General features: G+C 38.2%; 1 long non-coding RNA gene across 1 annotated transcript in view, besides 1 other annotated feature; it reads left to right on the top strand.

The window, feature by feature from the left end:
- The window catches only part of LOC107985792 (uncharacterized), a 180,825-nt gene that overhangs the window by 111,576 nt on the left and 56,355 nt on the right, over window positions 1-12,894 (top strand). Inside the window, exon 3 of the long non-coding RNA NR_171639.1 lies at window positions 9,437-9,534. This is a non-coding gene — a long non-coding RNA (uncharacterized LOC107985792). The remainder of the gene's footprint in view (window positions 1-9,436; window positions 9,535-12,894) is intronic.
- Window positions 8,656-9,855: an enhancer, noted in NCBI's record as "P300/CBP strongly-dependent group 1 enhancer chr2:23300370-23301569 (GRCh37/hg19 assembly coordinates)". NCBI's record gives its function as "activates an origin of replication core promoter dependent on BRD2, BRD4, P300/CBP, MED14 and CDK7 cofactors, with strong dependence on P300/CBP, by STARR-seq in HCT116 cells {active_cell/tissue: HCT116}" and the evidence as "EXISTENCE:reporter gene assay evidence [ECO:0000049][PMID:35650434]".

Genomic DNA, 12,894 nt, shown 5'->3' with positions numbered 1-12,894 from the left:
GGTTGAATTTGGAGAGGAGCTTTGGCAAGGAATTAAACCAGCTCCAGGTACCTCTAAGCAGCTGAGTCTATTGAAGACAGATGTGAGTTGTCCTTTGTATGAAATGTGGCAGCCCAGAACTCATCCCTCTTTGTGCAAGAACAGCCTTGTTTATTCAATCAATTCCTATTTGAGCACCTACTGTGAACCAGGATTGTGCTGGGCCTTAGGGAGACAGCAGTAAACAAGGTAGATGAAAACCTCCGCAGTCATGGAGGTCACTTGTGAAACAGATAGAATGGTCATTTCAGTGGCTTGGTCTCCAGAGGTTGCTCCCTACTTATCGCTCTAAATAGATTTTAGTGAAATGCTTTGGATCAGAGATGGGAGTGTATCGGACCCCATTCATGGGAGGGATTTGAAGTACCAGATCATAGCCAGCTGACCAGATTCAAGCAGGAGGACAGGGATGGAAGCATCTACTGTGGGGTGGATCTCTGGTGGGATGGCTTTTTCAGTTGGCTCTTGACCATTTGAGTTTATATGGAGGGCAATGGGAGCCAAGAAGACAGAGAAGACCAAATGCCAAAAAGATTCAGGAAGGCTTCTCAGGGTCAGTGACTTAATGGACTTTCAGAGAGAAAAAGTTTTCTTTCAAATAAGGGATTAAACAGTAAGTCAATATTGGATTGACTGAAAATTGGGCTGACTTTTGAGATAACAGAGAGGTGCCTAAGAAAACCACATAGAATGACAAAGATTGAACAGATTTGCCCTAGGCTTGAAGGTCTGTAGCCTGCATCTTCCTCCAATGCTTTTTTCCTCCTTTTTACTCCTGCATTTGCATTGTTACTGGCACAGCCTTTGGTATCTTTGTAGGATCCCTTCACTGGCCTGTCTGCTACCAAATCCTGCCACATTGTACCACAGTCATGTGTCACTAAATGACATGGATATGTTCTGAGAAATGCGTCACTGAGTAATTTTGTCACTGTGGAAACATCATAGAATGTTCTTACATAGACCTAGATGGAATAGCCTGCCACACACCTAGGCTTTACGGTAGAGCTCATTGCTCCTAGACTGAACACCTGTACTTGCATGTGATTGTATTTAATACTGTAGGCAACTGTAACACAATGGTAGGTATTTTCATATCTGCACGTAGAAAAGGTACAGTTAAAACATGGTCTTATAAGATCATGGAACCACTGTCATACATGCCGTCAGACATTGAAATGTCATTGTGCAGTGCATGACTGTATAAGCCAAAGTCTATACCTGGCCTTCACCTGACACAGACCAGCCTTATCACACCAGATGCAACACAGATCGTTCTGTTTCTACCAGAGATCCTGTGGCAGCCTGCGGCTCAGAGGCCTCTGTGGGCAAGCTCGGTGGAGCTGGGCCTGCTGGCTCTTTTGTTTGCACACACCAAATTTGAGATGGGCTATCATTAACCAAATGGAGAGCAGCTGTGCTTACTGAGACAGTGTGCCTCCTCAGATCTGTGGACATGTCAGAATTTTTTTTTAGCCAGAATATTTGGCTCTAGAGGCCTCAGAAATATGTGAAGCAGCCTTAGTTAAGGTTCTAAAAGATCCCCCTTCTCTCTGGCTTCATATAGCCTGGGCTGACCTAGTGATGTAGCCTCAAGTTCCTCAGTTAGGGGATCATGCCTTTAGGATGAATAGGGTTTTCCCTTTTGAAAAGCAAATTCCTCTAGCAAGATCTCATATTAAGCAGCTCCCAGCCAATGACATGTATTTTGGTGTGAATTAAGGGCTGGTAACTTCCTCTAGAAATTAAACAAAGAGCTGAAAAAGGAACAGGTGAGAGAGATAAAAGTCCTGAGTGAGACTACCCTCACCTGGAGGATACCAGGTATGAGACATTCACAGATGGAAGGCAGGGTTGCCAAAGACTAAGTTTGCACACCTCAAGATTGTGTCCAATGTTGTCTTAGATGAAACAAGATTAATTTTTATTTATTGTTGCTCTATTGTCAGAGGCATGGTGAGACAGACCTCATTACCCTCTCTTCTCTTTCCCACACATCCTCTATTTACCTCTCCATTTCCTTATCTTGTTTCTGTTCTCAATGGCCCAGGATTCAGGTTGCAACCAGTAGCCCTCAGTGCCTGTCAGCCATGCATTTCTAGGAAGCTAAGAATGACTTATGGGACATCATTTTTGGAATGGAGGTGTTCACAGGCCCTCTCCCCAGTGAAACAACCACAACTGGTGAAAATTATATACATTAAAATTTTTTAAAGTCGCTGAGCATTGTCTTTGGGCCATACAGCAGATGAAGAAATATTTATTCAAGAAAGTTTACTGCATCTTGGTAAGGACGGGAGTACATGGCATTTGATCCGCAATTTGCTTCCTCCCTTCCTACTCTCTCAGCTCACAATGAGGGAATTTCCACACTGGGCAGGTACAACCAAGAATAAAGGACTCCCTCTTCACTCAACTTCCAGTTGAGGGCTCCAGTGTCTCCAAGGGGTAGGGACAGGCCACCAGCATTTTACATCCTCACCACATCTCTGTGTATCAGAGGGTCTATTCCAGGCAAGAATGGCTGAGAGATCTGGGGCTGTCTTCCTCCACTTATGACATACTAATAGGGCAGAAGATCTACCCCAGGCATGGCAGCCAGGAATAGAGGGCCCCATCACCTCACCCTAGCTTGGGTAAAAGTCTCTATGCAAGGAGAGGTAAACCACAAAGCCTGGAGGCTGCCAAACCACCCCAAGGTGACACACATAAAGCTCACAAAGCAGGTGTGACTGAGAGAAGTAGTTCTCTGTCCCTGACCCTCAGTTCTAGAGCAGTGCTGCAGATTTATTACCCAAGGGGAGAGGCAGGGCACAAGATCAAAAAGCACTGAAGCTCTCCCAAGGCTTAGGGGCTTTATTTTTACCACCATGTAAGATAGTACAAACCTAAGAGTGCTCTTAGAAACAATAGGGATTTTGGTGACATGCAATTAAGAGGGGACTGGTTGCTCCATGAAAGCAACAAGCTTAACCTCAGACCATCTAGAAATTTACTGGAGGGAATTATGGAAAGAGACAGCTAAGAGATAGTTTCTTCAGAGACTGGCCTCAAAGATTACCCCTGCAAAGGGACCTAAATTTAATTGCATCAGACTCTGGAGCAATTTACGCCTCAGGGTACTATAAAACATAATAGAACAATTAGCCAGCAATTAGTGGGGGCTAATAGCTGGGCATGATATAAATGGAGCCAGACAACAGAGATAAAAGGGAAAGAGACAGTCAAAGACAGCACTAATAAAACCACTGCCATCTCAGGGTGACAGTGTACATGCCCAAGGATGCCTCCTCTGAGTGGTGACATCAGAGGCTGCATCCTTGGGGGAAACAGACCACTAAAATAACCTAGTCAAGTCACTAAAATAAACAGGCAAACAATAACATCATCAACATCAAGCTGCAGAGCAAGGGATCAGCATGCAGAATTGTTACAATATATCATCTAAAATGTCCAGTTTTCAATAAAAAATTATGAGATGAGAAGAAATAGAAGAGTGTGACTGATACATGGAAAAAAGGCAGGTCATAGAAACTGTGAAGGGCCTAGATGTCAGACTTAGCAGACAAATACTTCAAAGCAACTATTATAAGCATGTTCAAAGAACTGTAGGAAACTGTCCTTAGAGTGGCAAAGGAAGGAAGGCATAATGATGTTTCATAAAATAGAGAATAATGACAAAGAGATAGAAATGATAGAAAATAGATATTGTGAAGGTGAAAGTATGGTAACTAAAATTAAAAATTTACCAGAAGGGCTTAATTGTATATTTGAGCTGACAGAAGAAAGAATCAGAGAACTTGAAGAAAGATCAACAAAGATTACGCAGTCTGAAGAATTAAGAGAAAAAAATGAAGAAGAATAAACAGAGCCTCAGAGAAATAGTGGACACATATGTGTAACTGGAGTACCAGGAAGAAAAGAGAAAAAAGAGAGCAGAAGAAATATTTGAAAAATCATGGCTGAAAACCTCTGAAATTTGATGAAAGCCATTCATCTATACACCTAAGAGCCTCAATAAATTCCAAATATAATAAACACAAAGAAATCCACACTTAGACATATCATAGTAAAAATACTGAAAGACAAACAACACACAAAAAAATCTTGACAGCAACAAGAGAAAAGTACTCATCACATACAAGGGGACCTCGATGAGATTATCAATTAACTTTCTTCCATCAAAGACAATGAATGGAATGACATAGTTAAAGTGCTAGAGAAATAAACCTGTCAACCAACAATCTTATAGCCAACACAACAGTCTTTTGAAAATGAAGATAAAAGAAAAACATTTCCTGATAAACAAAAGCTGAGAGAATTTGCTGCTAACAGACCTGCTTTACAAGAAATACTGAGGAAGTTCTTCAGGTAAAAGCAGGTGATCCCAAACAGTAATTTGAATGTACATGGAAACAACAACAACAAAGAGTAAAGATAATTATGCAACTATAAAGTAAAGTATAAAAGCATATTTCAACAGATTTAGGAAGCAGTTGTGTTAAACTATGCATATAATTGTATTATCAGATCTATTACATATAGAAAGGTAATGTATTTGACAATACAAGTACAAAACAGATATGTGGGAGCAAAGCTGTATTGGAAAAAGGAAATGGCACTAGAGAGTAACTTGAGTCCACAGGAAAAAAGGACCAGAAATGGCAAATACGGGCGACAGAGCGAGACTCCGTCTCAAAAAAAAAAAAAAAAAAGAAGGCTAATACAACACACTCCATAAATAAATACTTGTTATCCTTTGTTCTCTTCTTTAAAAGACGAAGTTACATAAGGTAATTATAACTATGTATTTTTGTATAATGATGTAATACAATAACTGTATATTATATATCTGGATGTAATATGCACATCAGGAATACCACAAAAGGGGGAGGAATGAATGAATAGGGCTATATAGGAGTAATATTGCTTTATCTCACTGGAACTAAATTAGTGTAAGTCTGAAGTAGAGTAATATTGCTTTGTCTCACTGGAACTAAATTAGTATAAGTCTGAAGTATATTCTGATAAATTGATATGAATATGGTAAGCTCTAAAGCAACCACTAAGAAAATAACTCCAGGATACAAAAAAGTAGAAAGAATGAGTAAGATCTAGTAGTTGATAGCACAAAAGGGTGACAATAGTCAATAATAATTTAATGGCGCATTTAAAAATAACGAAAAGAGTATAATTGGATTATTTGTAACACAAAGGATAAATGCTTGCAGTGATGGATACTCCATTTATCCTGATGTGAATATTACACATTGCATGACTGTATCAAAATATGTCAGGTGCCCCATAAATATATACAGCTCCTATGTATCCACAAAAATTAAAAATACACAATTTAAGGAAAGAAAATAACTTCCAAAATATGGTAAAAAATTATTAAAGGAATTAAAATGTTACAGTGGAAAGTATTTGATTAATGCAAAAGAAAGCAGTAAAGGAGGAATAGAGAAACAAAAAGTTAGAGACATATAGAAAACAAAAGTTATAATGGCAGCCATGAATTCAAGTATAACAATAATAGCATTAAATGTAAACAGATTAAACAACCCAGTCAAAAGGCAGAGATTGTCAAATTGGGCTAAAAACAAAAACCATGATTCAACCAAATGATGTCTACAGAGTAAATATTTTAAATTCAAAGATACAAATAGGCTGAATGGAAAAGGATAGGAAAGGATATATCACGTGAACATCAACATAAGAAACCAGGAGTGGCAGTACTAACTTCAGACAAAATAGACAAAAAGCAGAAATCAAGTTAATAGACATAAACAGGAACATTTTATAATGATAAGAGGAGTGTTTATCTATTATGATGATATAACAATTACCATATGTACAACTAACAGTGCCTCCAAGTACTTGAAGCAAAAACTGTCAGAATTGCAGCGAAGATAGGCAATACAAAAAATAGTAGTTGGAGGATTTAATATTCTACTTTCAATAATGGATAGAACAACTAGGCAGAAGATTAACAAGAAAAGACTTGAACAATACTAAAAATCAAGTAGTCCTAACAGAGATCTATAGAACACTCCACCTCAAAAGAGGCAAATACAAATTATTCTCAGATGAACATAGAACGTTCTCTAGGATAGACCATATGGTAAGCCATGAATAAGACTTGTTACATTTAAAAGAATTAGAATTATAGAAAGTGTGATCTGTGATCACAATAGAATGAAATAATAATAGCAAAATATCATAAATATAGAGAAATTGAACAATCCACTTCTAAATAAACAATGGGTCAAAGAAATCAAAAGAGAAATTAGAAAATATTTTGAGATGAAGGAAAGGGAAAACACACATAAAAAATCTCAAAGCAGTGTTTAGAGGAAAATGTGTAGCTTTAAAAAATTGTATTAAAGAAGAAGATCTCAAATCAATAACCTAACCTTTCATCTTAAAACAGTGAAAAAAAGGAGCACACTAAACCTAAAGCAGACAGAAGGAAGAAAATAAAAATAACAGAAATTAATGAAATAGAGAATAGAAAAACAATAGAGAACGTAAGCAAAAGCAAAAGCTATTTCTTTGAAAATATCAAGAAAATTGACAAATCTTTAGCTAAACTGACCAAGAAAAAGAAAAGACTCAAATTATTAAAATCAAGCATGAAGGAGGGGACATTGCTACTGACGTTACAAAAATCAAAAGAATTAGAACACTATGCACGTTTGCATAGCAATTTAGATATTAAATAATTTTAATAAAATGGACAAATTCTTAGACACATATTATCAAATTGACTCAACAAGAAATAGAAAATGTGAACAGACTTCTAACAAGTAAAGAGATTGAAATAGTACATAAAAAACTACAAAGAAAAGTCCTGGCCCAAATTGCTTCACTGGTGAGGAAGAAGTCATACTAATTCTTTACAAACTTTTCCAGAAAAGGTAAGGGAACATTTCTCAAGTCATCCTATTAGGCCAGTATTATCTTGATATCAAAACCAGACAAAGACATCACAAAAAAAAAAAAACTACCAATGAACATTCCTTATGAATATAGAGGCAAAATCCTCACTGAAATACTGAAAGACCTGGTCCGGCAACATATATAATGGATTATATACCATGACCAAATGGGATTTTATCTAAGAATGCAAGGTTGGCTCAACATATGAAAACCAATTAATATAATACACCATATCAATAGAATAAAAGACAAACCATGTAGTTATCTTAATAATTTCAGGAAAAGCATTTGACAAAATTAGCACAATTTCATAAAATATTCAATAATCTAGGAATAGAAGGAAATTCCTCAATCTGATAGAGGTCATTTATTAAAAATCCATAGGCACTTATCATAATTAATGGTGAAAGACTAAATGCTTTCTACCTAAAATCGGGAACAAAATGAGGATGTCCACTCTGATCACTTCTACTCAACGTTGTTGAATTCTGGATTGGACAATTATTCAAGAAAGTGAAAAGACATCCAGATTGTAGAGGAAAAAGTAAAACTGTCTCTATTAGCAGCCAACATAATCCTGTATATATAAAATCCTAAGGAATCCACTAAAAAACTCTTGGAAGCCATAAATGAGTTCAGCAAGCTTACAGAGTATAAGATACATATGAAAAGCAATTGTATTTTCATACTCCAGTGATGAACCCTCCAAAAGTGAAATATACAATTTATTGCAGTGGCATCAAAAAGAAAATAATTATAAATTAACAAATGAAATGCACAATGTATACTCTGCAGGTTACAAAATATTTTGAAAGAAATTAAAGAAGCCTTAAATAAATGTCCTGTTTAGAAAAGCTTTGTCTGTTTCAAGGTCATGAATATATTCTCCTGTTTTCTTCTAAGAGTGTTGTTTCATAATTCATATCGAGTTCTACAATCCATCTGATTTTTTTTTTGCATGTAGTATGAGGTAGGGTTTAGGATTCACTTTTTTCTATATGGATATACAATTGATCCAGTACAATTTGTTAAAAGATCAGTATTTTTCTTCTGCACTGCAGTGGTATTTTTGTCATAAGCCAAGTGACTCTATGTGAGTCAGCTTCTGGATTTTCTATTTTGTTCCATTGGTCTGTCTACCCTTGTGCTGATACTACACTGTCTGTCTTAATTACTGTAGCTTTATAGTAGATGTTGATATCTGATATAGAGGATATCAGCCTTCTCTTAGTTGGTATTTTCCGGGTTTATCTTTTTCAACCCATTTACTTTCTACCTTTCTTCAATTTTTATCCACTCAGCCCTGCGAGATTGCCAAAACGTCTGCTGTTTTCTGTGCTTTTTATCAGTGGTTCTCTGCCAGGTATGTGTGTCAAGAATTGGCTATTTCTCCTAGTGGAAACGTGGCCAGCTAACCTCTGTCTGCTTCTCTTTGCTCAGAGATTTTGGCTCCTCAAGTCCTAAATTGATTTATTTCTTGGTATTTTTTCCTAACTTTTCTAGCTGTTCAGCAGAAACATTGGTCTGCTTACACAACTCTATCCTAGCATCCTAGCTGGAAGCAGATGTCCTAGGACCCCTGATATTTAACTTGCATATTTAAAAGCAGATATTACATCAGAAAATCTGTATTTTTCCCCATTATTTTTTTAAAAAGGAATCACATTATTATTTTAAAAATGCAGGAAAAAGCATTTTGTTAAAATCCAGTACTTGTTTATGATAACAACTCTGTTGGAAAAGTAGAAAAAATAGAAATTTCTTCAATTTGGTAAAAGTCTTATACTAAACACTTACAACAAACATCCAATATTTGCCTCCTTTTATACTCACTCCCTTTAAGATTGCAAATAAGACAAAATGCCCACTATCAACATTACAGTTTACATAGTTAGGGAGGTCCTGGCTGATACATTAGCACATACACACAAAGGTACACACACACACACACATACACACAAGTCAAAAGGAAAAACACAAAATTGCTATCATTTTCTTAGAAAAAGTATCTGAACCAACAAACTATAACAACCAATAAGATTCCAGTTTATATTTCCAGAAAAAAGATAGACATAAAACATGTAATATCCCTCTACATTAGATGTAATGTACTTGAAGATCTAATAGAATATAAAATGTCATTTGCAATATCAACAAAAGCATAACATACATAAAAATCAGATGAAGAATGCATAAAAGACAACTGAAAAATTCTATCAAAGGACATATAAAAAGACTTTAAAAAAAGCACACTGTATATATGAGTGAGTCACTCATTATGAACATAATTCTGCCCCAAATTAATCTATGAATGCATTACAGGGTACTCTCCCCAGGCAGCTCAGGTGGCAGGCTGCAGAACTGGCCCTCATTGCTGTGGGTTCCACACCATTTCTGGGAGCACAATGAAAAGAGAAAAGTAGGGAAATAAAGGCAAATTTTACTTATCTCTCAGTTTACAGGGGGCCTGGAGGAATGAATCAGTGGCAGTGAGTGACAGAGTGGTCTCAGCAGGAAGAGGTGGAGGCAACGCTGGGATTTGGAAATGCCTCTGTGAGTGACTCATGTTTGACTGCAGGTGACTTGCAGAATGATGCTGAATGATTCAGGATTGCCACATACACGGTTAGGATGCCACTAATCCCCATCCCACCCTCCTCACGGCGGGTCACAAGGGTCTGATAACATAATGGGAGTATTCCTTGAAAAAAATAAAGCCACCATGTAGCAATGAGGTGACATTTCAGCTATCTTACCAAGACACTCAATATGAATAGTGACATTCAGGTTCTGAACATCAGAAACAGCCAGGTTTCCCATCTCTCTTGAGACACTCCCCAAAAGTGAGGGCTTTGGTGGTGCTGGGGGCTGGGGCTAAACTGGAATCAGTGCCAAACTTAATAATAATTTCGGTAGCTTGGGGACCTGTCTTTAATCTCCAATTTAGGCATACACCTATGAGGTACTGTATCTGATTCTCTCTCTGAATGCAATAGTGATGGCAGGTACTGGCAGTCTGTTCTCTGTTAAGCTCACTTTCATTAGGTGGGAGAAACATGTAGCAAATTTGCCTTTGTAGCTGGCTGGGTGCTTAGCTGGAAGAAAGTGAACATCAAAGGACACATCCCTACCAGAAACTTAGGATCCTTATTTTAAAAAGGCCCTGTGCAAGGCTCTGGTTAGGACTAGGCTGTAACCAGCAGAGTTGAGAATAGAGAAGCCTTTTCTGGGATAGAATCTGAACATACTTCAGATGGTTTTTCAAAACAAGTAGGATCTCTTTTGAAATCAGATAAAGTCATGATAAAAAGAATTTCACTGTGACCATATCCTACATTTAGAGGTTAGCGCCCTTCAAAAAGAGGAGATGCAAAGAAGAGGGCAAGGGCTGATAGAACTTTCTGATTGTCTTATTTTCATTAGCTAATTAATTAAACATTTATTGAATGCCTACTATGTTGCAAGCCCTCTGCTGAGATCTATTTTTAAAACTTTACAATTATTTACTTTTTTGAATCTCAGTTGCCTCATCTTTAAATATATATATGAAAAAAAAGTCCAACTTCCTTCACCAGGTAGGGCCCTCTTAGGAGCAGGGGATTTGTCACTGAAGTTATGTCCCGGATACACTGGTTGGCAGTTCTTTGTAGTCATCTTGCTTTCCCTTTCTGTAAGAAGCCTTGCTTACTAGATTGCTTACATGTCCCTGTCCCCAAAGACCAGCAGACTGAAGTGGCTTCAGTTGTTTGGAGGGGAGTGAGTCCTGCAAATGAGGTTGGTTTAGTATAAAAGTGAAAGGTATGGGAATGCTCACCTTGTCTGTTGCAGCTTAGCTTGGGAAAAGTGGCCGGACTCCTTCAGTGAGGATGAAGGACTTTGAAGCTGCCAAAGCATATTGCCAACAGCATGCATTCACTTTTTGGGCAGAAACCTAGATTTACTAGAAGTCTAATTGTCCCCTGCTTACTGACATCAAGGCTTACGTCCTAAAGATTTGTTTCGTGGAATCTATGACAGGGGCTCTTACTAAGTTAGAGTGAGTGAATCTTGGGGGCTGAGGGAGAGACCAAATGGAGGCATGATTGGCCATGTTTCTTCTTGTTTGCCTGAAACTGTCATTGTGCCAGGTGGATATAGAATGTAGTATAGAGAATATGTTTGGAAGAAATATCAGGAAGCTGTTTCCTGTTCAGAAAATCAGCATGTGTGAATGTACTCCCACACAGACGTACTGACCATGATCCACTCAGGTGCTGCTGTGGACAGGAAGTTTTTCTTTCCTGGATGAGGATGTAATAAAGGCCAGGGGTTCCCCATATTTCTGTCAATTATTTCTGGCTTCTCCACTTGATACTTTGATCAACTAACCAGGTAATAGGCACCTTGCAAGGGAGAAGAAGGAGAAGAGATCTATCAGGGGAGAAACTATTCCTGGAGGGGTACAGCCCTCTGTGTCTTGCTTTCTCTGTTCCAAAAATATTCCTTCTCCACCGTTGCTTTGCCTGGTTTGGAGCACACTGGGCACAGGGTGGGTGATTTCCCCCATTAAACACCTCTGAGAGTCAATTGTCATCTTCAGTGAGACATGAAGAAAGAGGGCAAAGAAACGAAGCCTGTTTTCATGGTAGTTGCTCCTGAGTTGTGCCAGCTCATGATGCTCAGGGTGGCATCAGGCATGGTGCTCCAAGTGGCTGGGCTGAAGGTTATCAGTGCTGATACTGAGCGTGAGTGGGTGGAAACTAGGCACAGTCTTCCAAGGCAATGCAGTTTGTATGCCTACACATGCATGCATTTCTTTGGCCAAAGTTTCAGTTAATTTGTATACAAATTGGTTTTAGAAAGATTATTCTTGTTGGAAAGGCATGGGCTATCTGAAAGGTGACACTCTCATGGCTGGAAAGTGCTAGAGTCAGAAGAGGAAGATATCAAAACTGTAGCTGTGGGTAGAGATTGAATGGGATTAAGCAGTTAGCTAGGTTTAGAAAGAAAAAGGCAGAGAGAGGTGGCGAGCCCTTGTCTGTGATTTAATAGAATCAGGTTTGCCATACTTGGCTTGTGAGGATGCTCCTTTCTCTTAGATGTAGCCCTATAATTTGGGTATATTGTGGGCTGGTAAACAGAAGTACCAGAGAAATGGCCCCAGGGTCCAAACAGCAGTTTATATACAGGTGTGGGTCAGTGGAGAAGAAGATTCTTATGTTTTTCCAGTCAATTAAAACCTTTTCCAGAGGAGACTAAAGTCACAAGCATGACTGTGATCACTGCTTTTCTCTTTTTCTGCTTTTTCCTGAGCAGGGAGGTGCAGGACAACCCGGTGAAAATGAACTAGAGAAAATGGTGGGGTCACTCATGATCTAAATTGGCCTTTGAGGAAAACAATCCGCTCGTGGTGAGGCTAGACAAAGGGGGCAGACAAGCTGCCAAAACAGCTTTGGATGTGAATCTGGCTTGCAATTTGGGGGCTGCTCTGGAGGGAATGTTTTTGAAATAAAGATTTAGGATAAATTAGAAGAAAGTCCTCTGATTAAGACTGGAAATAAAAACCAGGTTAAACAATGAATATAGAACCGTCCAAGATAGAGAGCGACACCGAGCACATCTTGAAATTTTATTTAATTAAAAATGTGCTTTTAAAGAACTATTTACTTCAGCTTTTCAGATTTAAACCTTGCTGTTTAAAAAGTGGCCTTTTCTTGTGGGAAATTGTAAGCAGATGCGCAGGTAGACAGAATCTTTAACTGAACACCTTTGTTCTCATCACCCAGTCTCAATGGTGATTTACCTAAGACAAGCCTGCCCCATCCACGCACCGACGCCCTGTGCACACTTCCTTCCTTTCCTATTATTTTAAAGGAAATCCCATAAATCAAGTAATTTCACCTATAAATATTTCAGTGTGTTTTTCCAAAAGAT

The sequence above is a fragment of the Homo sapiens genome, chromosome 2 (assembly GCF_000001405.40).
Source record: "Homo sapiens chromosome 2, GRCh38.p14 Primary Assembly".
In the NCBI taxonomy this organism is placed as follows: domain Eukaryota; kingdom Metazoa; phylum Chordata; class Mammalia; order Primates; family Hominidae; genus Homo; species Homo sapiens.
This window is presented reverse-complemented; position numbering and strand designations above follow the sequence as displayed.